Below are 25,314 nucleotides of genomic sequence, written 5' to 3'. Positions count from 1 at the left end.
GTAGAGGCTACCAGTGGGGGTGATGGTTAAAGAGAAACTTTGCTAAACTTCAAAAAGGAAGAGAGACCTGGCCAAGTCACATAGCTCAGATACAGCAGACTATCTCCATGAGTGGCAAGGACCCATCCCACCCTGGAATCCAAGTCTTTCCTGAGTTTACAGGGTGGTGTAAAAGTGTGCACATGGATGCCTGTGTGGGAGTGTGTGTGTGAACATGTCAGCACGTATGTGATCTGTGTCCAAGCACATCCCGCTGAGGGAAGGCACAGGTGTGGGTAAGTATGGCCATGTTGGTGTGACTTTGCCCTGGGGCCCACATGCCAGCTGGGTCTGGCCTGAGCTGATGGCTCTCCCCCTCCTCCCCACAGGCCAGGCCCCAGACTGAGCCAGGGACCGGGCGGGAGCCCCGAGGGGCCGGTCTCCCAGCCGGGCCCTGTCCACTCGGGGTGGCCTGCATTCCTAGAGTGGAGAGGGTGAAGTCCTGGGTCCCCCCGAGCAGGGCCCAGGTCCCGGCGCGGCGGTGCCTACCGAAGGGCACGATGATGGGGCAGGTGATACTGTAGGTCATGACCACCGTGAAGACGCACATCATCCAGGCGTAGGCTGCGCCAAACTGGAACTCGTAGGCCTGATGCTGGGGGGGAGACGGGCAGGAGGATGGCTCAGGGAGGCAGGGACTGACCAGAGGGGCAGGGAAGGAGGGAGGGGGAAGGGAGCCAGGACCTCTGGGGCCGGAAAAGAAGCCATGGGGAACAGGACCTAATGTCTAGGGTAGGGTAGGGCAGAGCAGATGGAGAGAGGGGCTATGGCCGAGAGGAGGGTCAGGGCGGTTGCAGTGATGGGGCACGGAGAGGGGCCTTCAAGGGTCGGGGCCTGGCAGGTAGGGGGCAAGAGTTGGGTGGACTTGAGAGTGGGATGCCCAGAGCCCTCTTATTAAGACAGAGGGACCCTAGCGCTAGGGACCCAGATCTCCCCAACTCCCATCATAGAATGCTACTGTCAGAACTGGCAGGGGCCTTCAGGGTTACCTATGTCCACCCATGGCAGAATACGAAGGCCCCAGATATGGGAAGGGGATGGCCCGGATCCACCGTGAGTCAACTGTACTCCCCAAGTCTCAGCCCTCCTGTGCCCCTCAACCCTAGCGCGATGGCTGCTGTTTCTTGTTGGGCCACCAGGGGGCGCTGTGCGGGCCGCTGCTGCCCCAGGCGGCCGTACCCGCTTCACGTTGCGCCTCTCGGCGGCCGAGCGCGCCAGGCAGAGCCGGATCATGTACATGAGCAGGCCTGGGATGCGCAGCAGGTCCATGGCGTTGCCGATAAAGGCTGAGGCAATGACGTAGTTCACGAAGAAGGCGCCGTTGTCGGGCAGGAACACACACCTGCGGGCACCAGGTGCTCCAGCACTGCACCCTTGGGGTGACCCGGTGGCCGCCCGCCCACTGCCAGAACTACAGCACCCAACACCTCCACCACCAACATGCTTCTTCCATGTGGACACCCCCAGCTTAGCGCCCCAAGCACCTGTGCCCTGTTCCCCCCAGAGACATACAGAGTGGCAACAGACAGCTCCAAGAACTTGTGCCCCATAAAGACCCATGGAGAGAGTGCTCAAGACCACCTAAGGCTGCTAGAATGTTCAGGGGAGAACTGTCCAGGACCCCCAAAGACAACCCAATGAGACCCTCAAAGAACCCAAAGGCTGACAGCCCCAGGAACACCCAGAAGATTCCCCCACTTAGACCATAACTCGAGTTACCCCCAGAGTGTGACATGAGCCTCAGATACCTCCACAAACAAGCTTTGAGACCCTTCCCGCAACATCTCTGGGGGAGCCCAGGAACCTTTATCAGTGCCTGAGATGCCCCAAGTGTGACTCAAAGATCACCACAGATGGCCTACAGCAAAACCCCTAGAGTTTGTGCCCACAGCCATGGTGCATGACCTTCAATATATCCTCACATGATTCCCAGAGAAGATGCCCATACAGAACTCCACAGTTACATCTCTGAATAAAAGCCTGAAATTTTAGAGATGTTCCCAGAACTTGTACTGCTAAACATCCCAAAGTGTGAGTCCTTTAGCCTCCCCGCCCACAGACACCCCCAGAGTTATAAGGTCAAGAGCCTCCTACACATACCCAAAAATATGGGCTCTAGAGACCTTCAGGGATACCCCTAGTAGCCTCCAAGACACTCCCTAAGTATCACCAAGACCTCCCTAGAGATGGTTCCCCAAACCTCCCAAGTGGAACTCCAGAGACGCCCACAGTTAGTCCCAGAATATGGGCACAAGACACCCCCATAGAAACTACCAGAATGTGGAGCCCCAAGCCCCAAATATACCTTGAGGATGATCTTAGCATCCAAACAGGTTACCAGAGAGTGAACACCAACACAGACCCCAGGGACTTCTACCATGTATACACACCCAAGACACCTTGTGGGTGCCTTTGGGGTAACCCCGCCAGATCCTCTCTCTTCTGCCCCCTCCAGGAGTTGGAAGCTTTGTTGCACCCTCCCATGGGGCTGGCAATGTCTCTCAAGCATACCCACCCCTGCTGTCTGGTCTCTTTCCCTAGGGGCCCCAGTCACTCACTCAAACCGAATAGCTGCCTCAGCCAAGAATTTCTTATCAAAGAGCCAGCGGAAGAAGAGGTCCAGGCTGGAGGGAAGCAGAGGAGAGATGGGGTGGGAGCTGGAGTGGTACAGAACACCAGGGGAGGGGAAGTCCCTCCTCTGTGAGCCACTGGGGAGACTCCCAGACATGGGGTGGGTAGCTCAGGAGGCCTGGGGGTGGCCAGGCTTCCCATCTTGGGCCCCTTGCTTTGTAGGGGAGGTAGGGAGGCTGAACTGCTCTCCTCTCCCTATCCTGCTGTCCCCCTACCCTGGCTCCTGCCCCATCCTTCTCAACTCACCTGCTCAGTCCCAGCGAGGGTAGGAGCAGCACCATGAAGATGAGGAAAGTGTAGCACTTGTGCATGGTTGTCCTGTTCTCCCCAGAGCTGGAGGGAGGGGAGCAGGGAACGGTACAGGTCAAGTGAGCCCAGGCCCCAGACTTGCTCCCCCAACAAGGACAATGTCCAAGGAGTGTCCCCTGGGAAGGGTGGGCCTCCCAAGGTGAGGGTGCTGGGCACTACCCCTTCCCTACCAGCTGTGGGACTGCCCAGGGCCAGGAGCCTGAAGGGCAAAGTGCTGCCCAGAGAGGATGGGTCATTGAGGGCAGGCCACAGCGAGGTGTGGTGTGAGTGGAGGCACCTTACCGTGTCCAGTGGGCTTCAAAGAAGGCTGAGTAGTAGACGATGGTGGGAAGGAGGGCCGAGAAGCACCACAGCAGCAGGGTGGGGAAGAACTGGGTGATGATGGGGTTCTGCAGCAGGGCACAGGGGGGCGTCAGGCAGGGCAGTCTAGGGGGCCCAGGTGGCTTTGCTTATGTGCCTCCTCCCCAGCTGGGCCCTTGGCCTCACAACTCTCAGGGCTCCCATGTTGGAAGCCCAGAACATCCGGAGGGCTGGGGTGAGGGTGGGGGCCAGGGCCATATGTATAACCCCAGGGTGGATAATACTGATAGTCAGCATTTGCTGAACATCTACTATGTTCTAAGCAGTGCTGATGTACTTGCCATGTCTTAATCCTCACAATAATGCTGTTACCCCATTTGACAGATGAGTAAACTGAGGCAAAAAAAAGATTCAATAGCTTCCCTAGCTAGCAAGCCATGAGGTAGGGATTTGAATCCATGCAGTCTGGGTCTTATCTATTATGGTATTATCACTCCAAGTGATTTGCAAACTGTCCTTCTTCAAACTCTGAGGTTCTAAAGAGGTATGCTCTATGCGTGGGAGGAGAGGTGAGGGGAGGCCAGGCAGACATGCATGCCACCCTACTGTCATCGGAGCAGCCCTGCTTTTCCACACTGGGTTTCACACCGATAAAGAGATCAGAATCCAAGTCCAAAGCCACTGATCTAGTTGAACCTTTCCATTTTTTCAGTTAGACTGAGGGGTGAGGGAAGGGGACTTCTCTGAGATCAGGACTAAATGCAGGCTCTCTCTCTTCCCTGGGTGTTTCTCCAGGTGTTGCACACCTGAGGGTGGCCTCTCTCAGGGGGAAGGTGGCAGGGAGCCCAAGGGAAGTGCACACAGGGGTTTTTGGGAGCTGGTTGGTGGCACGGGGTTGGAACAAGCAGAACGGGCTGGGCTGGGCAAGTGGAAGAGGGATCAGGGCCTGGTATCTGTGTGTTGTGACCCAGCGTGGAAAGTGACAGGGGCATGAGGCCTCACGTTGAGGTACTCCACAGGCTTGGTGACGTTGAACTTGTCCATGGTGGTGATGATGATGGCTGGAGTGGTGAGGAAGAAGAGGAGGATGAAGAGGACGACATTGATGACCAGGCAGCGCAGCCACCAGATGAAGCCTCGGATGGAGAGGTGCTCCCTGGCAAGGTGGGGAACCGGTCAGTCCAGGAACCAAGGGCAGGATTGGCCCCCAGTGACACCAAGACACTCCCTCTCCTCCGCCTACCTACTGAGCCCATCCCAGGCCCTGGAAAGCCTGCCCTGACACCTGTTTGCTCACCAGTAGATGTTCTGAGGGTCAGGGGCATAGGACACGGTCCAGTTGGAGATGTGCAGGGACTCGCTGCAGGATGAGGGGCGTGGCTCCCCACGGCAGGTGCAGCCCTGGCATTTACACACGTTGAAGTCCTTCAGGATGCTAGAAAGATGGGCACTGGTTACCACAGGCCCACCTGGAGGCCACACTGCTGGCAGAAGGCCATGAGCACAGGGGTCAGGGAGCCCTGGAGGGCTGCTCAGGGCCGAGGGCCGAGTTGGGGACTCACATGGCGGTGATAGTCTCATTGTGGAAGGTGACAAAGGCCATGCCAAGAGGCTTCTCATTCACCTTCTCCTTCTCCCGCTTGTAGTCTTCCTTCAGCTTCTGCTCCAGCTTTGTGTAGTACTCAATGGCCTCCACCTTTGTGGGAGGGTTAGGGACAGGGCCTCTAGTTGGAAAGCCAGGCTGGGGCCTGCAGCATCCAGCCCACGCTGACTTGGGGCTTCCTACAAGCCAGGCACTGCTCCTCTAAGCATTTTTTTTTTTTTGGAAACAGCGTCTCGCTCTGATGCCCAGGCTGGAGTGTAGTGGTGGAATCTCAGCTCACTGGAGCCTCAAGCTCCCAGGCTAAAGTGACCCTCCCACCTCAGCCTCCCAAGTGGCTGGGAATACATGTGTGCAGTACCATGCCTGGCTAATTTTTGTATTTTTTGTAGAGATCAGGTTTTGCCATGTTTCCCAGGCTGGTCTCAAACTCCTGGCTCAAGTGATCCACCTGCTTCAGCCTCACAAAGTGCTGGGATTACAGGCATATGCCACCGCACCCAGCACCTCTAAGCTTCTTTATATGTATTACTCACTTTACCCTCACAACACTCTCATAAGGTGGGTACGTTAACCCCATGAGGAAACTGAGGCACTGAGCAGTAAGCAACTTGCTCAAGTCCCCAGAGTCAGTGGGTACAGCACAACATTGTCCTTTTGGCTGACATTTTCTAATTTGAGGTTTGAAAACCTGGTCACTGTAGGGACATTAGACAAACCCAACAGTGGGAACTGAGGCTTCAAGGATTCCAGGGACAGGTGGGGACTCACTGAGGGCAGGGCCCCAGCCTTGCCTGCCCAGGACCTGTCCAACTTCTCCCGACTCAACAGCCAGCCCGCGTCATACCTGCTCACAGCCTCGCACCACACAGCAGCAGAGGTGGCCACAGGGCTTGGGGTTGATCATGGTAGGCACGTTCTCCTTGCTCTGGAGGTTTGTGAAGTACAGCTTTCCCCGCTCGGCCTTCTTCCTGTGGGACCCAGATGCCTGGTCACCTACATCTGGGGCTGGGGCTGGCTCAGCTTGGGGGTCATCTAGCTCACTCCCCAAGGACAGGAGCTGTCTTGTTCTTGTTTAGGATACATGTTTCAGATGTGGCCACATCCCAAGGTCTCCCCACCCATCCCTAGAGGGCCAGAAGTTCTTCCTGCAGGCTGACCTAAATTTCTCATACTGTAGCCAAAGAAGGGCATGTCCTCAGATGCAGTGGGGACCATGGGCCCCCCTTCCCCTCACAACAAACTCTAACCTCCAGGCCTTGCTCTTTCCAGAGCTGAATTAACAGGCACACCAACGAGTTGAATTAAAATCAAATGCCCTAGGAAAAAATCTAGAAGGGGAGCCTGTGTGGTAGCCAAGATGTCCTCCACAATGGCAGGGGGCCCTTGGTGTCACCCTCCTCTGCCCCCAGTCCCTTACCTCTCTGCATCGAGGAACATTAGGCGAGCCACGTTGTAACACGGGCGGGCTTCGAGAACTGTGCAGTTGGGGTAGGCTTCCCTGAAACACAGTTCATGTATCATCTTGTGCAGGGACCCCACCCACCTGCCCCTGACTTTCATCCATGACCCCATCACCTTCAAGAAACACATCTCTGGCTGGACGTGGTGGCTCACATCTGTAATCCCAGCACTTTGGGGGGCCGAAGCGGGAGGATCACCTGAGGTCAGGAGTTCGAAACCAGCCTGGCCAACATGGTGAAACCCTGTCTCTACTAAAAATACAAAAATTAGCTGGGCATGGTGGCACGTGCCTGTAGTCCCAGCTACTCAGGAGGCTGAGGCAGAAGAATTGCTCGAACCCGGGAGGTGGAGGTTGCAGTGAGCCAAGATCGCGCCACTGCACTCCAGACTGGGCGACAGAGCGAGACTCCATCTCAAAAAAAAAGACAAAAAAACCCACATCTCCAATTCAAGCTGCCTTTTTCTTAGTCTACAAAACTGAGAGTTCCCCAAGAATAAAGCTTTGGAGTTCCTCCTCATGCTTATCTGAGTGGGGAAGTGGGAGCAGAAGGCCTGAGCACTGTGTGACTGCAGGCTGGGCTAACAAACCAGGATGTGTAGGGACATACTGCATGCAGGTAGGGAAGCCAGGGCTATGGTCTGATTCCTGTCCAGGGCTGTGACCTTTAGGTTGAAAAAAATTGCATCTAGTCATAGGCTATATAATTCCTTAACCCTGTTCCCAGAAGACCTGGTCACAGCCCAACACTTAGCCTTGACCACAGACTGACCTCAACCAACCCATAACCCAGTCTACAAAATGATCTCTAACTTTGGCCCAAGACAGACAAGAGATTGATCCTGACCCCTGACCAGGGTGAGACTGACCTGTAACCCTGGCCAAAGACTGACCCTTAAGCCCACCCTGGCCAAAGACTGACCCCAGACCTGTTGCCCAGACCCAAGACTGACCTCCTAACCCTGACCCCAGATTCATCCTTACCTTGACTTAAGACTGACCAGAGAGAAACTGGCACTGACTCACTAGTACCTGGTACCAGGCAAGGCTTGAAGAATGCTTGCTGAGTGAAGGAATAGTTCATTTTTTTGTTTGTTTGTTTGTTTCAAATATTCTGAGATGGGGTCTTGTTGTATTGCCCAGGCTGGTCTTGAACTCCTGGGTTCAAGTGATCATCCTGCCTCAGCTTCCCAAAGTGTGGGCATTACACTAGTGAGCCACCATGGCTGGAGGGAATAGTTTCTTTTTGTTTTTTGTTTCGTTTTTGTTTTTGTTTTTGTTTTGTTTTGTTTTTGAGACGGAGTCTCACTCTGTCACCCGGGCTAGAATGCAGTGGTGTGATCTGGGCTCACTACAACCTTTGCTTCCCGGGTTCAAGTGATTCTCGTGCTTCAGCCTTCTGAGTAGCTGGGATTACAGGTGTGTGCCACCACACCCGGCTAATTTTTTTTTTTTTTTTGTATTTTTAGTAGAGATAGGGTTTCAACATGTTGGCCAGGCTGGTCTCGAACTCCTGACCTCAGGTGATTGGCCCGCCCTGGCTTCCCAAAGTGCTGGGATTATAGGCATGAGCTGCCATACCCAGCCTAATAGCTTTTTTTTTTTTTTTTTGAGGCGGAGTCTTGCTCTGTCGCCCAGGCTGGAGTGCAGTGGTGCAATCTCAGCTCACTGTAACCTCCACCTCTTGGGTTCAAGTGATTCCCCTGTCTCAGCCTCTCCAGTAGCTGGGATTATAGGCACATGCCACCACGCCTGGCTAATTTTTATGTTTTTAGTAGAGATGGGGTTTCACCATCTTGGCCAGGCTGGTCCTGAACTCCTGACCTTGTGATTCACCCACCTCGGCTCCCCAAAGTGCTGGGATTACAGGTGTGAGCCACCGCACCTGGCCAGTAGTTCGTTTTTAAATCTGATCATGCACTGTTCTTTGATCCTAATCCTTAATCTAGACTGAGTCCCCATCTTTTTATATTTTATTAAAATTTTTAGGTTGAACACAGTGGCTCATGCCTGTAATCCCAAAACTTTGAGAGGCTGAGACAGGAGGATTGCTTGAGGCCAGGAGTTCATGACCAGCCTGGGCAACATAGTGAGACCCTGTCTCTAAAAAAAGAAAAAAAAATTAGCCAGGTGTGGTGGTGAGTGCCTGTAGTTCCAGCTACTCGGGAGTCTGAGGCAGGAGGATCGATTCAGCCCAGGAGGTCAAGGCTGCAGTGAGCTATGACCACGCCCCTGTATTGCAGCACTCCAGCCAGGGAGACAGAGTGAGACTCTGTCTCAAAAAAAATTGTTTTTTTTTTTAAATGAAGGACCACCAAGTATTGAATGCATGAGTTACTGTTCTAAAGTATTAAGATAGTCCTCATAAACCCATGAGAATTTAGAAACTTAAATCTGGGATAGGGTCCTTGAGATGTACTTCCCAGGAGGCTAGAGACCTTTCCTCTGATATTGTTCCTCAAACCATTTGAGGTTTCCCCTTTGGAAGGGTGAGCTCTCATTCTCACTAAACTCATCTCTAATCCTCTAAATCCAACCACACAGGCCCGTTGATTTGCATGCAAGATATTTCCTAATTGTGCTGAGACAGTCTTCCAATCCAGACAGACTGCAGACTTGGACCACAAGCCCTGCCTAATCCTGACAATGAGCTCAAGCGCTGTCTCTTAGTCCTCACCATATACCCAGCCCTGTCCCAACAGCTTGTATATAGCAGGTGTTCAATACACATGTGGTAAATGAGCGGATCAATGAAATGGCTACTCCATAATGCTCATCCCAGTGATCCAAAAAACTCCAATTAGGACTAGAGTCTCCCTTACCCCTGCTTATAGGCTGACCTCTCCTAAACAAAACTATAGACCAACCCCTGAAACACAACTAGGATCTTCAGCTTCCCAAGGGCACTGATCAGGTCTGATTATACTCTGTCTCCCAGGCATGAAGCACATAGTAGGTATACAATAAATGTGGGCTGAATGAATAGACAGTTGACTAGTAGGGTTCACTCAGGTCTCTGTTCAAATGCCACGCTGTCAGAGTCCCTCCCTGTCTATCCCATCAGAAATAGCAACCCTTCCCAACCCCTCTTACCCTGCCTGCTTCCCTGCTGTGGTTTTCTTAGCACCTACCTCTTCTTGACACAGTCTCTATTACTAGTTCATCCGGTCCCTGTCCACCCCTCCCCACTAAAATGAAAGCAAATGAGGGCAGGCCTTCTGTCGTTTACTGCTATACCCCCAGCTCCTCCCCAAGCAGGCACATAGCAGGTGCTCACTAGATATTTGTATCAAAAAACAAAAACAAAAACAAAAACAACAAACACCAGATTTCAATACAAGCTGACAACTGATTCCAACTGGATGGTAATATTAAGATGTCACCTAATTCATTGTTACAAAAGATGGTATGAGAAAAAAAAAAGATGTCACTAATTCTGAGTACACACTGTCCTTAATCCTGACCCAGAGTGCCCTTTAATGCTGATGACAGCTTGAACCTCAGATAGGACCCCAAATAGTTCTCTCATACTGACAAGAATGATCTAATTTTGACTGCTGTTTTATAGCCTGTATAAGGGCTGGGCTTGTTTCTAATTTATTTGTGCCTGGCACATAGAAGGTTGTCAATAACTGCATGTAGTATGAAAGAGTATCCATCTACTAATGCTGATCACACACCAGTCCTTAATCTTCTAACACAGGCTCTGGAATCTGACCCTGACCAGATAGATGTTCACTCTCAATCCTGCCCAAACACTATCTCTGATTGGATCACACACTGGCCTGACCCAGGACAATGAGTGAACTCTGATTCTGGCCAACTGACAGGTCTGGACCTCAGATTAAACCTTGATTCTTTACTTTCTTTCTTTTTTGAGACAGGGTCTTGCCCTATTACCCAGGCTGGAGTACAGTGGCGCAATCAGTTCACCACAGCATTAGCCTCTTGGGCTCAAGCCATCCTCCCACCTCAGTCACCTGAGTAGTTGGGACTATTGGTGCATGCTACCATGTCTGGCTAATTTTTATATTTTTTGTAGAGATGGAGTTTCGACATGTTGTCCAGGCTGGTCTTAAACTCCCGGGCTCAAGCAATCTTCTCAAGGGGATTACAGGCATGAGCCACCACACCTGGCCTAAACCCTGATTCTGATGGTAGACTGAGCCCAAATCTCAACCTCAGTCTGGGCCATGATCCAGACCACCAGCATCCTTTATCATGACCACTGGCCAGCTCCTGATTCTGACCACAGACTGACCTCAGAGCAATCTCTGATCAGACCCTGGACTAGCTCCTAAAGCCGACTGCCATACTATGAACCCCCTGAGAACTCAATGATTTTTTTTTCTTTTTTTGAGACAGTCTCGCTCTGCCGCTCAGGCTGAAGTGCAGTGGCACAATCTCGGCTCACTGCAACCTCTGCCTCCTGGGTTCAAGCGATTCTTCTGCCTCAGCCTCCTGAGTAGCTGAGACTACTGGTACGCGCCACCATGCCTGGCTAATTTTTGTATTTTCAGTAGAGACAAGGTTTCACCAGTAGAGACGGGGTTTCACCATATTGGCCAGGCTGGTCTCAAACTCCCGGCCCTCAATGATTTTTTTTTTTTTTTTTTTTAAGACATGGGGTCTCATTATACTGACCAGGCTGGTCTTGAACTCCTGGCCTCAAGTAATTCTCCCATCTTGGGCCTCCCAAAGTGTTGGGATTACAGGCGTGAGCCACCGTGCCTGGCCTCTTCTATTTTTTATTTTTTGAAACATTTGAAACAGGGTCTTGCTCTGTCACCCAGGCTGGAGTGCAGTGGTGCACAGGACTCACTGCAGCCTCGACCTCCTGGGTTCAAGCGATCCTCCCACCTCAGCCTCCCAAGTAGCTGGGACTACAGGCGCACGCCACCACACCTGGCTAAGTTTGTATTTTTTGGTAGAGATGGGGTCTTGCTATGTTGCCCAGGCTGGTCTTCAACTCCTGGGCTCAAGTGATCTGCCCACTTTGGCCTCCCAAAGTGCTGGGATTACAGCCATGAGCCACCATGCCTGGCCTCATTCATTTTTTACAGTCCCAAAGCCCACCACAGTAACTTATGACTAACAGCACTTGAGAAAGTTTGCTGAGTGAACAGATGCCTGTGTGAGAGTAGCCCTAATCCTGTGGTATAGAGACTGTCCCTACACACCCCCATGGAGGGGCCCTTCACTGATTCCCCACCCTATGAGCTGCGCCCCAAGGTGCATCCCTAGCCATGGGGTGACCAGGTAAGTTCCCTCTTTGCCTCATTATACCACCTCCCTTTTCTCTAGTTTCTGGCCATAGGTCTGCTCTACCCACCCCAAAACATAATTCTAGAGCTGAAAAAGCCTCAGAGAATACACAGTTCAAGTTCTCCTGGACTCCTTGGAATCCACTGGAAACCAAGGAGCTTCTCCCTGTCATGGCTGCACACAAACTCCAGAATGCTGCTTTTAATTTTGAAGAAGATATGTACTCCAATGGACCTGGGTCAACAACCTATGACCCAGTCTGAGCCAGGAGGAGGTTTGGGGGTTAGGGGGTTTGAATGACTCACTCTTCAGGTTTTTGTCTTATTTTTCCTGTTCTTAAAGGGGCCTATCACCCGACCCAAGTGCTAAACCACCCTGGAATCGGACATTTCTTCCTGGATCTAATCTCTATCCCACCCACGGCAGAGCTCCAGGCTAGGGTATAAGGATGTTCTTAGAGTTCAAAGGCAGAGAAGGCTCTGCAGCAGGGCTTGAGGGTAGGGGGAAGCGTGGCTTACTCACTCAAAATGCTTCTTGATCTTTTCTGACTCTGCATATTTGGAGATTCCATTGATGAAGAGGGTCCGCTTCACCTGGGTGACAGGGGAGTGGGTTTGCCTTCTGAGGCTTGACCCCAGTGGAGCCAGGGGATGTGAGGGGTGGGGGGCACTAGAGAAAGAGGCTTTGTTTTGAGTGGGTAGAGAAGTAGGTGAGCAGAGGGGAACAGATGGGGTGGGAGGAGGCCTTAGTTATGGATAAGCCAGGTCCCAGGGAAAGCAGGGGAGTGTTTCCAACAGAAATCAGGCAGTGAGCCTAACAAAAGAGCCACGCCGTCCCATGCTCTTGAGGGGTTATAGAGGCAGAAGGGGGTACTACTTTCAGCTCCTTAGACCCTGAGAACCCAGCACAGTGGCTGGCATGGAGTAGGTGTCCGGTTCTGGCTTGGTGAGTGCATGTAGAAGGGGAAGGAATATTACTATCCTAGGATCAGCCACTGCTATTTTCCCAAGTGCTGGGCACAGCACGGCTGTTTCTGTGTATTCCCCACAACCTTGGGGGAGGTACTGTTGTTATTCCATTTTACAGATGAGAAAATCATGGCTTGGGAGGTTATGTAACTTGCAGGATGGGAGCTCCTGAGCTGCTGTGCCAGCATTCAAACCTAGCTGACACCTCTTGGGGCTGAGACAAAAGAGGCCTGCAGGGAAGGGAAGGGAAGAGGCTGGGGATGGGGCAGGACCTGGGCTCTGCTCCACGCACCAGATCATCCTCCTTGTAGCGCATCTTGGAGGTGTGTCTACGCATGCTGTAGACGGTGAGCAGCAGATACAGGAAGGCGAAGGAGGTGTGCAGCCATAGCAGGTTGTTCCTGGGAGAAGCAGAGAGGATACATGGGAGCCACTGGGGCTAGGACACACTCAGAGGAGACACCTCAGCCTGTCAGTGTTAAACCCTTGATACAGACAGGGCCCTCTACTGCCACCAGCCTTCTGGCACTGACTCCTCGCAAGGCAGGCCCACATCCCACATCCCCTAGACACCAAAATTCTTCGATTCCAATGAAAATATCCCTGATAGGTCACCTTTCTACGCCCTACCCACTGGTTACAGTGTCTCCAACTGCCCCAGCTGGCCCTCCCTGGTTCCTGAGATTTCACCCTCCTCTTCTGTATCCTCTTCATCCTTGGGGGATCCTCAGCAGGCATTTCCCTCTTCTGTCTCCAACCCAAGCCCTCAGGGACCCATAGCCATCCCTGTAGGCTCTGCTCCCATCAACGCAGCTGCCTTTCCTCCCTGTCCCACATCATGGCCCAGACTCTGGTCGTAGACCTTGGCCTGGCCGACCAGCTTCGCATCTTACCCTGATTTCAAGTTGGCAATGGTGGTTCTCCCAAAGCTGTAGGCATTGTTCTCTGTGGGGTGGGAAGAGGGAGAGGATGATGGTGGGGTCAGGGCACATCCCCTCCAGCCCCATCCTCTCTCCACCCTAGCCGTCCTGGCCCTCACTGACCCAGCAGGTCCCCTGAGAAGTTGACAGGCAGCACGATGCCTACGGAGAGGACGCCCACAACCACCAGCAGCCCGATGATGTGCCGCTGAAAGGACAGGTAGTGCACGGCATCGCCCCCACATTTGTCCCGGATCTCATCATCCCTGCAGCCATACGGGTTGGACAAAGGAATTAGGTTAGGACCAGGGCAAGAAGGGGGCTGCAACTTGCCTGCCCTCACCCACTCCCACCCCAAACCCACCCTAGCTCCAGCTGATCTGGCAGTAGTATAGGGCTGAAATGGGACTTCTTGGTCCCCTATTTTCTGTGAAGGGAGAGGGGAGAAAGGGAGAAGAGAGGGGGAGGGAGAAAAAGGAGAAATGCATGGAGAAGGGGAGGGATGAAGGCAGAGGGCTAGAAGGAAAAGATAGGTAAAAGAAAGAAGAGACTGCAGAGACAGGAAGGGGAAGAAGAAAAATGAGGAATGCAGAGAAAAGGGAAGAAAAAAGAGAAATATCTGAGGAGGGAGGAAGGCAAGAGAGGAGGAGGACCAGCAGGAGGAGGAGTGGTGAAAGAGGCAGAAGTGAAGGAAGGATGGGAGGAGGGGCAGCAGCACCTCATGGGTGTGGCTGAGCCTGGCGTAGTGAAGCCCGGGTACCCTTGGGGGAGGCCTGGGGGAGTGGTGGCGGCAGTGCTGACCTGTCCTGGCTTCCTGCCTTTCTCAGCGCTCACTGCCTGCCTGCTGGACTCTGGCTGGATCTCCTGAGTTCTGCCTGCAGCTGGCTGGCTGCTCCCAGCCTACTGCTGCCCCCACTCACTGGCTGCACAGAGGTTGAGGCAGGGGCTCCACCCCCTCCCTCAAGGTGGGGCAGGGCAGGGAGAGAAGCGGGGGGGCCGGCAGGGGGTCACAGAGGAGATTATGGGGTCAAGTGAGTGTTCAGGGTACAGCAGAGGCTCAGGCACCCGAGGCTTGGCCTTTGAGAGCAGGGAGGAGGGTGCTGTGCTGGCGAGGAGTGCTAAGGCCCTGAAAGCTGCTGGCTTCTGAATTTTGTAGGGAGATGCCAGGTTCTGAAGTTTCTCTCTTTCTTTAGAGCTTGAAGATGGTCCACTTACTTTATCCTGAAGATGGCTGTCAGCCAGGAACAGAAACCCTGGGGGAACAGAGGGCTGTCAGCGGGAGTCCCCAGCCCACCAACCCGAACCTCTCTCCTCCCTCAAGTCCCACCCATTCTCATAATTACCTCCAGGCATAGCTTCCACACCCCTCACTAAAAAAAAATCCTTATACCCTCAGAACTAGCTTATACCCAAAAAGGGAGAGAGAGAGGGAAGGTCTCAGCCCTCAAAGAAAAAAGACCAACACTAAACAGGTTTATCTGTGAATCCCCATGTCCAGATCTACAGATTTCTGCAAATACCCTGTGGCTGTGTGGGCCAGGGTGGGATGGGTGGGGCTTGGGGTTCTAAGGTTAGCAGGACCTCCAGACCTCCGGCTAATAAGTTTGCAACATGGCTGCCAAAAGCAGAGAAGAGGGCCTTGCTGCCTGAATTCCAGCTATTTATCCTCTAGTCTACCCCAGAAGGACAAAAGCCCAGGGTCACTATGAGCTGCAAGGTATCTCCCCACCTCCGGCCAGGTGCGGTGGCTCACGCCTGTAATCCCAGCACTTTTGGAGGCCAAGGCGGGCGGATCAACTGAGGTCAGGAGTTCGAGATCAGCCTGGCCAACATGGTGACACCCCGTCTCTTACTAAAAATACAAAAATTAGCTGGGTGTGGTGGTGCGCGCCTGTAATCCCAGTTACTTGGGAGGCTGAGACTGGAAAATTGCTTGAACCCAGGAGGCGGAGGTTGCAGTGAGCTGAGATCACACCACTGCACCCTAGCCTGGGCGACAGAGCAAGACTCTGTCTCAGGGAAAAATTAAAAAAAAAAAAAAATCTCTCCCCTCCACCCTCCAGGCATGTAAAGGCAGAGAATGGGGATATTCAGGGGAGGGCTGCGCAGAGGGCACCCTGCCCCAAACTCCATCCAGCAGAAGGTCCAGACATAACACAGGATGGGGTAGAAAGGTGCCTTTCGGCCGTGATTCAGGACCATGCTACCTGTTGCCAACATCACCTGAGTCTGGGGACCATCTGGACACTTCTGGCTAGCAGATGTGACAACTTTGCCACCTACCAGTATGAGTCCAACTCAGGAAGCTGAAGGCCATCTTCTGCTGGAATTGCTGGAAGAGCTGCCACCCCTAGGACTTGCAGCCCAAGAGGGACTGACCAGGGCCACACCATGTCTGAGGATTAGAGTTCTGACTAGGCTCCTTACCCTCATGGAATTAATGATGGAGAGCCAGGCAGGTAACACCTGTGTGTTAGGTCTGATATGAAAGGGGTCTGGAGTCTGTTATGAATTGCCATTCATATGCCTTGTTAAAAGGGACCACTGCCACTCAGCTCCAATCCACAAGCAGGTCAACCGGCCCCACATGGCCAGGGGCCACCCACCTGCAACCTCCGAGCAACATGACAGATTCTGTTTTTCTAGGCAGGGCTGGAGGGCTTATTATTTCTTTTTTTTGTTTGTTTTGAGATGGAGTCTCGCTCTGTCACCCAGGCTAGAGTGCAGTGGCGCCATCTCAGCTCACTGCAAGCTCCGCCTCCCGCGTTCACGCCATTCTCCTGCCTCAGCCTCCCAAGTAGCTGGGACTACAGGCGCCCACCACCACGCCTGGCTAATTTTTTGTATTTTTAGTAGAGACGGGGTTTCACCGTGTTAGCCAGGATGGTCTCATCTAGTGACCTCGTGATCCTCCCGCCTCGGCCTCCCAAAGTGCTGGGATTACAGGCGTGAGCCAAGGGCTTATTATTATTTCTAAAACCATGACTACGGAAAAAAGGTGGCCTTAGGATTAATCAGCAGAAGTGGGCACAAAACTCTTTATGGCAAACAAAGTTGGGAATTCATGAATGTTAAGGCTGTGCTAGTTTGGAGACTGTGACATAGAGGACAGCAGCCAGGAGTTCAGGGCCTGGGGGGTCATCCTGTGGCTCCTTGGTTGAATCACTTTCTTTGCTGAGGAGGAGGCCAAACCAGCATCCCTGACTCCACATCACTGAAAGTGAGGGACTTCTCAGCCCATGTGCCCTGGGGGTGGGGTGGGGGACTAAGAAGTTTGGGGGGAGGGCACTCACATTGTCCCTTTGGTCAAAGTCAACGGAGCTGGAGACAGAGGTGAGACGCTCATACCGGTCATGGCTGTCCCCGTGCATAGCTGAAGCCACACTGGGGGTGAGGGAGATGAGAGATCAGAGAGCCTGGTGAGTCTGAGCCCCCGGGAAGCTGGGCTGAGTGCTCCAGAGCTCCAGGGCTACAGAAGGCACAGAAGGCACAGGAAGCGCAGAGGCTGAAGCAGAGAGGAATGACTGCCCTCTACCCTGCTTCCCTCAAATATGCCTCTTCCTTTCAGGGGGACTCAGGGTGGGAGCGGAGGTGGGCACTGATGGTGGGCAGTGGGGACTTGAGGGAGGAGGTAATCTTCATCATCTCCCTAAGGAGGCTGAAGCGAGAATGCCAGAGGGCCCTGCAGTTCCAGAGTTGACTGGCAGGGGCCGGGGGCGGGCAACGGAGCCAACATTATGCAAAGAGCAATGAGGAGGTGGAGGAAAGGATGGACCAGGAGAACCTGGAAGGGCTGGGGAGACTGGAAGGTCTCCTGGGTGGGACCCTACCCTCCGCTCCCCTCCCTCTTCCCTGACTCCAACAGCTGTTACAACTCCAACTCCAATCCTATAGACAGAGATGACAAAGTGACAAAAAAGCCCAGACTGGGGGGCTCCTTGGGCAGCCCTCCTCCCAGGCCTCCAGAAGAGGTGAGCAGGGAACCCTGGAATATGAAGAACTAGCTGTTAGCGGACAAGAAGCTGCTGGTGACACCCAATCTTGTCTCTACGTGATTGTGCTGAGGATTTCCTGGAGGACAGCCCCTCCCCTCCAGCCAACAAGGGCTGCATAGGCAGGGGCACACAGGGAGGGACTTCTCCCAGGCAGGGAGCCAGAGGGAGAGATGAAGGGGAGGTGAGGCAGAGACAAGCTGGGGAGCCCCCTGCTCTGCAAAGCACACCGCCTGCGTTAATCCGAAACATGAGCCTGCAGAGGAGAAAACTGCAAAAAGAAACCAGCAACTTGGCAGGAAGAGAAGAGAAGCGTGAGAGAAGAAAAGGGAAAGCTGGTTTAGTGGGAATGAGGGGGCTGGTGCCCCACATACTATTCCTGTTCCACTCGGTCCCTCTCCTGCCGCCGAAGCCTGGGGACAGAGAACAGACAGGGTTAGCAGGGGCGGGGGAGAGTCCCTGGGGACAGGTGAGGAACAGGGGCCCAACTTAGGGCCCTCATGCCCCCATGCCCACATTGGGGCTAGTCCCTTCTCATCCCCCCAGCAAAGGGGAATGAGAGAGGGCTGGCTCCTTCCTATTCCTGAGGAGTGTGGAACAAGATGTGTGTGTGGAGAGCTAGAGGGAGGGTCCCAGACCCTTACCTGTCTGCATCTGTCACCAAGGCCAGCCGCCCATAGTCCCAGGCCACCTTCCGGAGGATAGAGAATAAGAACAGCAGTGCCTGAGGGAAGAGGGGGCAGTTGGCAAGTGCAGAGGCTGTCTGTCCACCTGCTGGACTAGGGGGCAGAAGCAGAGGGTCCAAAATCTTGTCTTAGAAGGGGATGACCCTGGCTTGGGTGAATGGTCAAAGGCGAGGCTTGGGCTGGATGATGGGGACTCCTCCTGCTTAAGCCTGGGAAACCGGGGCAGGTGGGAGAGTGGTTAGAGCTGGAAGTGTTTGCCAGGTGTGTACAGGGCATGGATGCCAAGGTAAGGGGTGGCAGCAGGCACTTACAAGGAAGCACATGAAGTCGAGAGCCAGCACGGTGGGGACGCCCCCAAAGGGCAGGCCCTGCAGGACAGTGCTGCGGATGCGGGCGCTGTAGCAGTAGTCCTTGGGGTTGCTGTTGTTGAGGGCTGTGGTGCCCAGTGTGGCCAGCAGAAAGGGCAGCATGGCTGCTACTGCCGCATGGTCCTCCTGGGCAGAGGGTGGAGCAGTCAGCTGGGCTTGCCCCCATCCCCTTCATGGCCCAGTAGGGTGGGCGTGGGGAGGGGGCAGTGAGGACAGATCACCAGGCTGCCTGGGTGGATGGAAGCTCTGGCCTCTGGAGATAAGGGCCTAGGGAGGGGAGAGTTGAGTCACATGGATTTACCTTCACTGGCTCTCTGGCTATGACCCCACCCTGGGTCTGGGGAACTCAGTCTAGATGCCAGGCCTGGACTGGGGAGGCTGGTTTCATTAAGCTGGAAGGTATCTGTGATTTTCTAACATCTATCTAAATCCCCCCTGCCGCCGCCACCCCCACACTCTCATTCTCTCTGTCTTAGGGCAGGGGGCGGAGCTGAGCCTGGGAAGACAGGGAGGGGTCTTAGGCCTGAGGACTCAAGGGTAAGATGAGGGGTCTCCACGTCAGGGGAGAATGGGTCAGGAGCCAGCTGCCTCATCCTGATCTTTTCTTTCTATGCCTATTAGAAAAAATGGCATGATTTCATTTGGTTAGAGTTTTGAACTCAATATAACTGGCTTAGGTTCGACGATGGGTCAGAGTAGGAAGTCAAGTAAATAGTAGGACTTCTGGGTTTGAGTTACCTGCCTGGCCCCAGCCACTCCTGCTTATTCTCATTTCTCTTCCCCATACCATAGTCCTCTCTCCAGTTATTTGCACAGGGATCGCCTGAGTGTTATGAGCACTACAACTCCCAGAGTGCCATGCTCCTGCCTCTGAAGCAGGGAAGGCTGGGAAAGCTATGCCCTACGGCAAGCTTTTCCACTGGCAAAGGAGGGGGGAGTGGGTGGGGGCCTCTTAGCCTGCCTGGGCAGCCAGGGTGCTGCCTGGTTGCCTGCAACTGGCCGGCTGCATTGATGCTCAGAGTGGATGGGGTGGGCAGGAGGAGAAAAGGGACAGCCAGCCTGAGTGCCTGGGTTCTCAAAGTGCTTGGGGACAGAGCAGAGTGGGGCCCTGGGGAGGATCCCAGGATAGCGGAGAAGTGTGGCCTCAACAGATGCAGCACTGCCCCACCCATTTTACTGGGGGGTCCCTGGGGGACCCTTCTGCTGACAACACTGAAGCTCTGCCTCGGGGGCGGGCTGTGGAGCAGGGGAGGAGGTCCTCAGGGAAGAAAAAGGAAAACCAAAGAGAACAACAAAACTAGAAACAGTGACTGCAACTTCGGGAGCAGCATCCCTTAGCCCCCAGGGGGACTCAGAGGGTTTCTCCTGCCTCTTCCTAACACTTCAACCACAGGGCAAGAGGCAGAAGCCCTCAGATGGAGGGGAGGATGGAGTTGTTTATGTGTTTCACTTGGTCCCAGGGAGTCTCTGCAAAGCCTGGATTAGGAAGACTAAAGGAGTGTGTGCTGGTGTGTTATGCCTCTTCCTTTTCCAGTCCAAGCTGCCTTTAAAAACACACTAATTTAGTAATTGTATTGGGTACCATTTGTCCAGTGCCCTCAGTTTCAAGAATAATATATTACATGATTTCATTTAATCCTCGACGATCCTGAATTGAGTGTCACTGACATTTTAGGGTGGGGGCACAGGGCCTCAGAGGTTAAGTAACTTTCCCAAGGTCACACTGCTAATAAAATGAGGGACCTAGGACTCAAACCTAGCTCACCTTCTTTCTAAAGCTAGAATGATTTTCAGGGCACCACGGTGCTTTTCTGATGTTCCTAGAACAGGACTCGGCAGACCATGGAAGCTTTATAAATGCTCATTAAATGTTCTCAGGCCAGAGAACCTGTGGGTGCTGTGGAAATGTGTGTGTCCAGGTATGTAAATGTGTGTTGATGTGTGGACCTGTGTCCAGGAGGAGCTAGGTGACTGCATGGCAGTCCACGGAAATGAAGGGAGTTGTTGGCTTCGAAGTGGGGGTGTGAACATGGGTGTGTCTGGGAGCCCGGGTATGTAAACATAAGATGCACAGAACCCTGGGGCACTATGGGAGGTTAAAGGTAGGTATAGGTATCTTGGGTTGGGGGGACTCTAACTAGTCCCCCTTTCTCAATTCTCAACTCCAATGTACTCCAGCAATCTCAACACTCTATTCCCACCCCTTGCCTGTTTCTCTCTCTGAATTCCAAGGCTCCATCAGATCAGAATGAAATGAGAACAAGCCCCAGAGTACCATTCCTATCAACTCCTGTCTTCTCCACACCAAAGAAAGGTAGAGCATTTTGGAAGCTTCTACATGAAGTGGCCCCAGCAGGGTGGACAGGATCTAGCTAGATGGTTAGTAACTGAAATCACCATGCTCCTCTGCTGTCCGCCTCCTTGGGGTCACAAAGTACTCTCCCCTCCACAACAGCATTAATCTTCCCACCTGCATGGGAGGAAGGCAGGGCACACTCAGATCACTATCCCCATTTTACAGGGAGGAAGCAGGAACCCAGTAGGGGAAGCAACTTGCACAGTGACAGGACAGGTAAGGGGTGGAGCCTGGGCTGGCAGCTCTGCCAGTTGACAGGGCTGCTCCAAGCTTTTAATTGTGGGGGTGGGGTTGCTGGGTTGAGTTTCATCAAGGGCAGCTGCTCTCAAAGCCAGCACTGGGCTGAGCAACTGAGAAGAGGGAAGACATTGAGGCAGAATACCTTGGGGATGGGAGGTGGCAGTTCTTCCACTCCACGAGGTGCCTGCACCAGCTATATCCCAGTTTCTCTAGTCTGATATTGAGGTTTTGGTTGAGGTGTGTCCAGAGAGTGATGGAGCATTTTACTTCTAGCTAACTTTTTAATTTTACCATTAAGGAGTGTGTGCATGGTGGGGGTTGGAGAGCTATAACTTATAAGCTTTTTTTTGGGGGGGTTGTTGTGTATTTTTTTGAGACGGAGTCTCGCTCTGTCACCAGAGTGGAGTGCAGTGGCGCGATCTTGGCTCACTGCAACCTCTGCCTCCTGGGTTCAAGGGATTCTCCTGCCTCAGCCTCCTGAGTAGCTGGGACTACAGACACATGCCACCACGCCCAGCTAATTTTTGTATTTTCAGTAGAGACAGGGTTTCACCATGTTGGCCAGGATGGTCTCGATCTCTTGACCTCATGATCTGCCCACCTCGGCCTCCCAAAGTGCTGGGATTACAGGAGTGATATAAGCTTTTTCAGTGGAGTTACTGGGCAAGATTTAAGTTAGGGCTTTGGATCAAAGCAAGGCCATGTGGTCTGAGGGGAGGAGGGGAAGATGGAAGCGAGCTCTGTTACTACGAAACCTGAGTCTCAGTCTTCCAATCTGTAACAAAGAGATACAAATATCCTTACTCTACCCCTACCCACTTCAGAGAGAAAGGCAAGAATATATCCACAAGTGAGCATAAAAGTAGTAGTAGGTGCCAGGCACGGTGGCTCACACCTGTAATCCCAGCATTTTGGGAGGCCGAGCTGGGCAGATCACAGGGTCAGGAGTTCGAGACCAGCCTGGCCAACACAGTGAAACCCCGTCTCTACTAAAAAAATACAAAAATTAGCTGGGTGTGGTGGCATGCGTCTGTAGTCCCAGCTACTCGGGAGGCTGAGGCAGGAGAATCACTTGAACCCAGGAGGCAGAGGTTGCAGTGACCTTAGATCATGCCACTGCACTCCAGCCTGGGCGACAGAGTGAGACTCCATCTCAAAAAAAAAAGTAGTAGTAGGCAGGGTGGGGTGGCTCACCCCTGTAATCTCAGCACTTTTGAAGGCCAAGTGGGGAAGATACCTTGAGCCTAGGAGTTGGAGGCTGCAGTCAGCCATGATCATGCCACTGCACTCCAGCCTGGGCAAGAGAGCAAAACCTTGTCTCGAGGGGAAAAAAAAAAAAAAGCCAGGCATGGTGGCTCACACCTGTAATCCCAGCACTTTGGGAGGCTGTGGTGGGAGAATCACGTCAGCCCAGGAGTTCGAGACCAGCTTGGGCAACATAGCAAAACCCCGTCTCTACAAAAGATACCCCCCACCACCAAAATTTAGCTGGGCATGCTGGTGCATGTCTGTAGTCCCAGCTACTCCGGAAGCTGAGGTGCGAAGATCACCTGAGCCCAGGGAGTTCCAGGCTGCAGTGAACCAAGATCATGCCACTGCACTCCATCCTGGGCGACAGACAGAGACCGTGTCTAAAAAAAAAAAGGAAAGAAAAAAGAAAAACAGAAAAAGAAAAAAAAGTAGTAAAATAATAGTATTAAATGTTTATTTAACTCTTCTTTTGTGCCAAGCACTGTTCTAAGCACTTTACAAATGTAACTCATTTGCTCCCCATCACAACCCCAGGAGGACACTGAGATACAGAGAGAGTATATGAGCTGCTCAAGGTCACACAGCCAGTCTGTGGTAGACCCAGATAAGGACCCAGGCTGCCTGGCTCGAGTGTATGCTCTTAACCACTGCACTTTGCAGAGTTATCTGCAAACAAGAGCCACTTCCACCAGGGAGCCGGAGGCAGTCAGTTACCACACTGGAGAAATGCCATACCCTATTTCTACCTGCTTGCCTTTCCTCTTGCTTGTAGCTTCCCTCCACTCAGGCCTTGGGTTTGTGATTTCAGGTTCTGAGGCAGGCATAGGGGACAGGCACCATAGTCTGGTGGTTAAAAGCACAGACTCTAGGATGTGACAGACCAGGCTTCTAACCTGGGAAAATTACTTAGTCACCCTGGGCCTCAGTTTCTTCATTTGTAAAATGGGACAATAATCCAGTTGTGTTGTTGTTCTGGGGATTAAACAAGATGACTTATGTAAAGCTCTTAATATAGTTCAAGGCATATAATGGGCTCTAGGAATTAGTTATTGTTATTAATAAGGTATGGAATAAAAGGGGTTGGTTTAGAGAAAGAAAATTGGTAAAAACAAAAATAAGATAAAAACACAGAATGTAACATGATAGAAATATAACAGAGCCCCTCAGTCAGGTTGGGCTTCTTATTTAGACCTAAGGGTTTACACTGTGTTAGGGACTCTGCCACTGAGTGACAGGGAATATTCTCACTCTTTGAACATACCCCATCCATCTGTGGTAGCCTGGGAGGTGGAGGCATGGGAGAGTTATGGGTCAGAAGTTCAGAGATGATAACCCATTATTGATCAATTACCAGGAAGGATGCCAAGCTCTTTACTTCTGTTACCTTGTTTGATTCCCATGATAAAACTTGTAAGGAGGTGGTAGTAACCACACTTTTTTTCTTTTTCTTTTCTTTCTTTTTTTTTTTTTTTTTGAGACAGTCTTGCTCTGTCACCCAGGCTGGAGTGAAGTGCCACAATCTCGGCTCACTGCAACCTCCGCCTCCCAGGTTTAAGCCATTCTCCTGCCTCAGCCTCCTGAGTAGCTGGGATTACAGGTGTGTGCCACCATGCCCGGCTAATTTTTGTATTTTTAGTAGCGATGGGGTTTCACCATGTTGGCCAGGCTGGTCTCGAACTCCTGACCTCAAGTGATCTGTCCGCCTCAGTCTCCCAAAGTGCTGGAATTATAGGCATAAACACTTTTTAATGAAAACTGAGGTTCAGACAGGTTAAGTAACTTGTCAAGGTCACACAGCTGAAGAATAGTAGAGCTAGAATTTGAACGCAGGTCTCTAAGACTCTGCTATACTTGGAGAGAACTTGAATGATGTCCAAGGGGGTTCTTAGTTACCCACTGCCTGCCTTCTGCCTTGCCATGTCCCCATCCACCCACAGGCCAAGACTGCACTGAGTGAGCCAACAGCAGGCCCCAGCATGTGCCACCTGGGGCATGCCAAGGCCTGGACCCTCTGGTGCCCTGGAGGACAATCACGCTGCCAGCACACCCCCACTTGAAGCCTGGCTGACACTCCCACTCCCCACCTCACCCTGGCCTGGGAGGCAGGATGGGCCCCTCTTCAGCAGGTGTTGGGCACAGCCTCATTGCTCCCCGGCTGCTGCAGACTGGTAATGGGTAGGCAAGCCCCAGCCCCCCAGGGCGGTGGAGTGCTCAGGCTTGCCCCGAGCGGCCAGACCTCTGCCCAGGGGACCCAGGCAGGGGGCAGCACAGCGCCCCAAGGGCAGCCAGCCCCTCTGACCTCTCCTCCCCACTTCCCAAGCGTCCTTTCCTTTTCTGGGGAACAAGGTGCCAAGCTTTGGGACTGTCCGCCTTAGGCGGTCAAGACAGCCAGGAGGGACAAAGCGGCGCCCCCTCCCCACAACAGGGCCTTTGCCCCACTCTCGGTTTCGCGTCTGAATCTTTTCCCCACCGCACCCTCCAACGCAGGCCCGGGCGGCTCATGAATGAACTGCACTGTGTGGGGCGCAAGGAGAGGACACGCTCCCGGGGCCGGCCGCCTCTCCAGCCCGCCGACCAGTCAGTCCCCAGAGCCGGGGGCAGCGGCCGGCCTCGTGCCAGCACCTGCGAACCCTGCCCTTGCCCGAGCCCGAGCCCTTACCCCGGACCGGCTTCGGGTGTACTCGCCCCCGGGAGCAGCAGAAAAAATAAAAGGCACAGAAGGCATCGGACTTGGCGACCCCGGGGTCCAAAACTCGGGGGCGGGGGCGGCTAGTTCCCCAAACGGCGGCGGACAGGCGGGGCGCAGCTGGCACCCCCGAGGGTCGCGCAGGGGACGCGCACCTGCACCGGGCAGGTGGGAGAAGAGTGGCACTCGGGGGCCGGGGGCGGGGGTCCCACCCTTTGGGATCTCCCCGGGGCTGGGGAGA

At 53.3% G+C, this 25,314-nt stretch overlaps 1 protein-coding gene across 22 annotated transcripts in view, besides 9 other annotated features; it reads right to left on the bottom strand.

Moving 5' to 3' along the window:
* The window catches only part of TMEM63B (transmembrane protein 63B), a 28,887-nt gene that overhangs the window by 2,293 nt on the left and 1,280 nt on the right, over positions 1-25,314 (bottom strand). For 5 of the 22 annotated variants that reach the window (XM_047418972.1, XM_005249213.5, NM_001318792.1 and 2 more), the window contains 19 exons: positions 18,484-18,666; positions 18,131-18,210; positions 17,861-17,899; positions 16,788-16,878; positions 14,710-14,747; positions 13,618-13,760; positions 13,468-13,519; positions 12,867-12,975; positions 12,129-12,199; positions 6,300-6,380; positions 5,727-5,850; positions 4,842-4,975; positions 4,577-4,714; positions 4,282-4,435; positions 3,262-3,368; positions 2,917-3,003; positions 2,598-2,663; positions 1,219-1,381; positions 529-634 (listed from right to left, as the gene is read on the bottom strand). In XM_047418972.1, the coding sequence (XP_047274928.1) occupies positions 529-634; positions 1,219-1,381; positions 2,598-2,663; positions 2,917-3,003; positions 3,262-3,368; positions 4,282-4,435; positions 4,577-4,714; positions 4,842-4,975; positions 5,727-5,850; positions 6,300-6,380; positions 12,129-12,199; positions 12,867-12,975; positions 13,468-13,519; positions 13,618-13,760; positions 14,710-14,747; positions 16,788-16,878; positions 17,861-17,899; positions 18,131-18,210; positions 18,484-18,642 (1,942 nt within the window). In that variant the 5' untranslated portion in view covers positions 18,643-18,666. Of the gene's footprint in view, positions 1-528; positions 635-1,218; positions 1,382-2,597; positions 2,664-2,916; positions 3,004-3,261; positions 3,369-4,281; positions 4,436-4,576; positions 4,715-4,841; positions 4,976-5,726; positions 5,851-6,299; positions 6,381-12,128; positions 12,200-12,866; positions 12,976-13,467; positions 13,520-13,617; positions 13,761-14,709; positions 14,748-16,787; positions 16,879-17,860; positions 17,900-18,130; positions 18,211-18,483; positions 18,808-20,937; positions 21,011-25,314 lie in introns of all 22 variants that reach the window. The other 17 variants (XM_017010999.2, XM_047418970.1, XM_047418971.1 and 14 more) reach the window with 6 other exon arrangements.
* Positions 1,204-1,373: an enhancer, noted in NCBI's record as "experimental_91884 CRE fragment used in MPRA reporter constructs". NCBI's record gives its function as "activates a minimal promoter by MPRAs in K562 erythroleukemia cells, with activity observed for both the introgressed and non-introgressed 6:44119676 variant alleles {active_cell/tissue: K562}" and the evidence as "EXISTENCE:reporter gene assay evidence [ECO:0000049][PMID:34662402]".
* Positions 3,888-4,057: an enhancer, noted in NCBI's record as "experimental_91874 CRE fragment used in MPRA reporter constructs". NCBI's record gives its function as "activates a minimal promoter by MPRAs in K562 erythroleukemia cells, with activity observed for both the introgressed and non-introgressed 6:44116992 variant alleles {active_cell/tissue: K562}" and the evidence as "EXISTENCE:reporter gene assay evidence [ECO:0000049][PMID:34662402]".
* Positions 11,943-12,112: an enhancer, noted in NCBI's record as "experimental_91852 CRE fragment used in MPRA reporter constructs". NCBI's record gives its function as "activates a minimal promoter by MPRAs in K562 erythroleukemia cells, with activity observed for the introgressed 6:44108937 variant allele {active_cell/tissue: K562}" and the evidence as "EXISTENCE:reporter gene assay evidence [ECO:0000049][PMID:34662402]".
* Positions 15,575-15,744: an enhancer, noted in NCBI's record as "experimental_91847 CRE fragment used in MPRA reporter constructs". NCBI's record gives its function as "activates a minimal promoter by MPRAs in K562 erythroleukemia cells, with activity observed for both the introgressed and non-introgressed 6:44105305 variant alleles {active_cell/tissue: K562}" and the evidence as "EXISTENCE:reporter gene assay evidence [ECO:0000049][PMID:34662402]".
* Positions 18,132-19,096: an enhancer, noted in NCBI's record as "H3K4me1 hESC enhancer chr6:44101868-44102832 (GRCh37/hg19 assembly coordinates)". NCBI's record gives its function as "activates a minimal SCP1, AML or CMV promoter by ChIP-STARR-seq in naive H9 embryonic stem cells {active_cell/tissue: H9 hESC(naive)}" and the evidence as "EXISTENCE:reporter gene assay evidence [ECO:0000049][PMID:30033119]".
* Positions 19,097-20,062: an enhancer, noted in NCBI's record as "H3K4me1 hESC enhancer chr6:44100902-44101867 (GRCh37/hg19 assembly coordinates)". NCBI's record gives its function as "activates a minimal SCP1, AML or CMV promoter by ChIP-STARR-seq in naive H9 embryonic stem cells {active_cell/tissue: H9 hESC(naive)}" and the evidence as "EXISTENCE:reporter gene assay evidence [ECO:0000049][PMID:30033119]".
* Positions 19,505-19,674: an enhancer, noted in NCBI's record as "experimental_91842 CRE fragment used in MPRA reporter constructs". NCBI's record gives its function as "activates a minimal promoter by MPRAs in K562 erythroleukemia cells, with activity observed for the introgressed 6:44101375 variant allele {active_cell/tissue: K562}" and the evidence as "EXISTENCE:reporter gene assay evidence [ECO:0000049][PMID:34662402]".
* Positions 21,907-22,066: a silencer, noted in NCBI's record as "fragment chr6:44098898-44099057 (GRCh37/hg19 assembly coordinates)". NCBI's record gives its function as "represses an EF-1alpha promoter that drives an FKBP-Casp9 reporter gene in an ReSE screen in K562 erythroleukemia cells {active_cell/tissue: K562}" and the evidence as "EXISTENCE:reporter gene assay evidence [ECO:0000049][PMID:32094911]".
* Positions 24,993-25,152: a silencer, noted in NCBI's record as "silent region_17254". NCBI's record gives its function as "represses an Ori minimal core promoter by ATAC-STARR-seq in GM12878 lymphoblastoid cells {active_cell/tissue: GM12878}" and the evidence as "EXISTENCE:reporter gene assay evidence [ECO:0000049][PMID:35858748]".

This window comes from Homo sapiens, chromosome 6 (assembly GCF_000001405.40).
Source record: "Homo sapiens chromosome 6, GRCh38.p14 Primary Assembly".
In the NCBI taxonomy this organism is placed as follows: Eukaryota; Metazoa; Chordata; class Mammalia; order Primates; family Hominidae; genus Homo; species Homo sapiens.
This window is presented reverse-complemented; position numbering and strand designations above follow the sequence as displayed.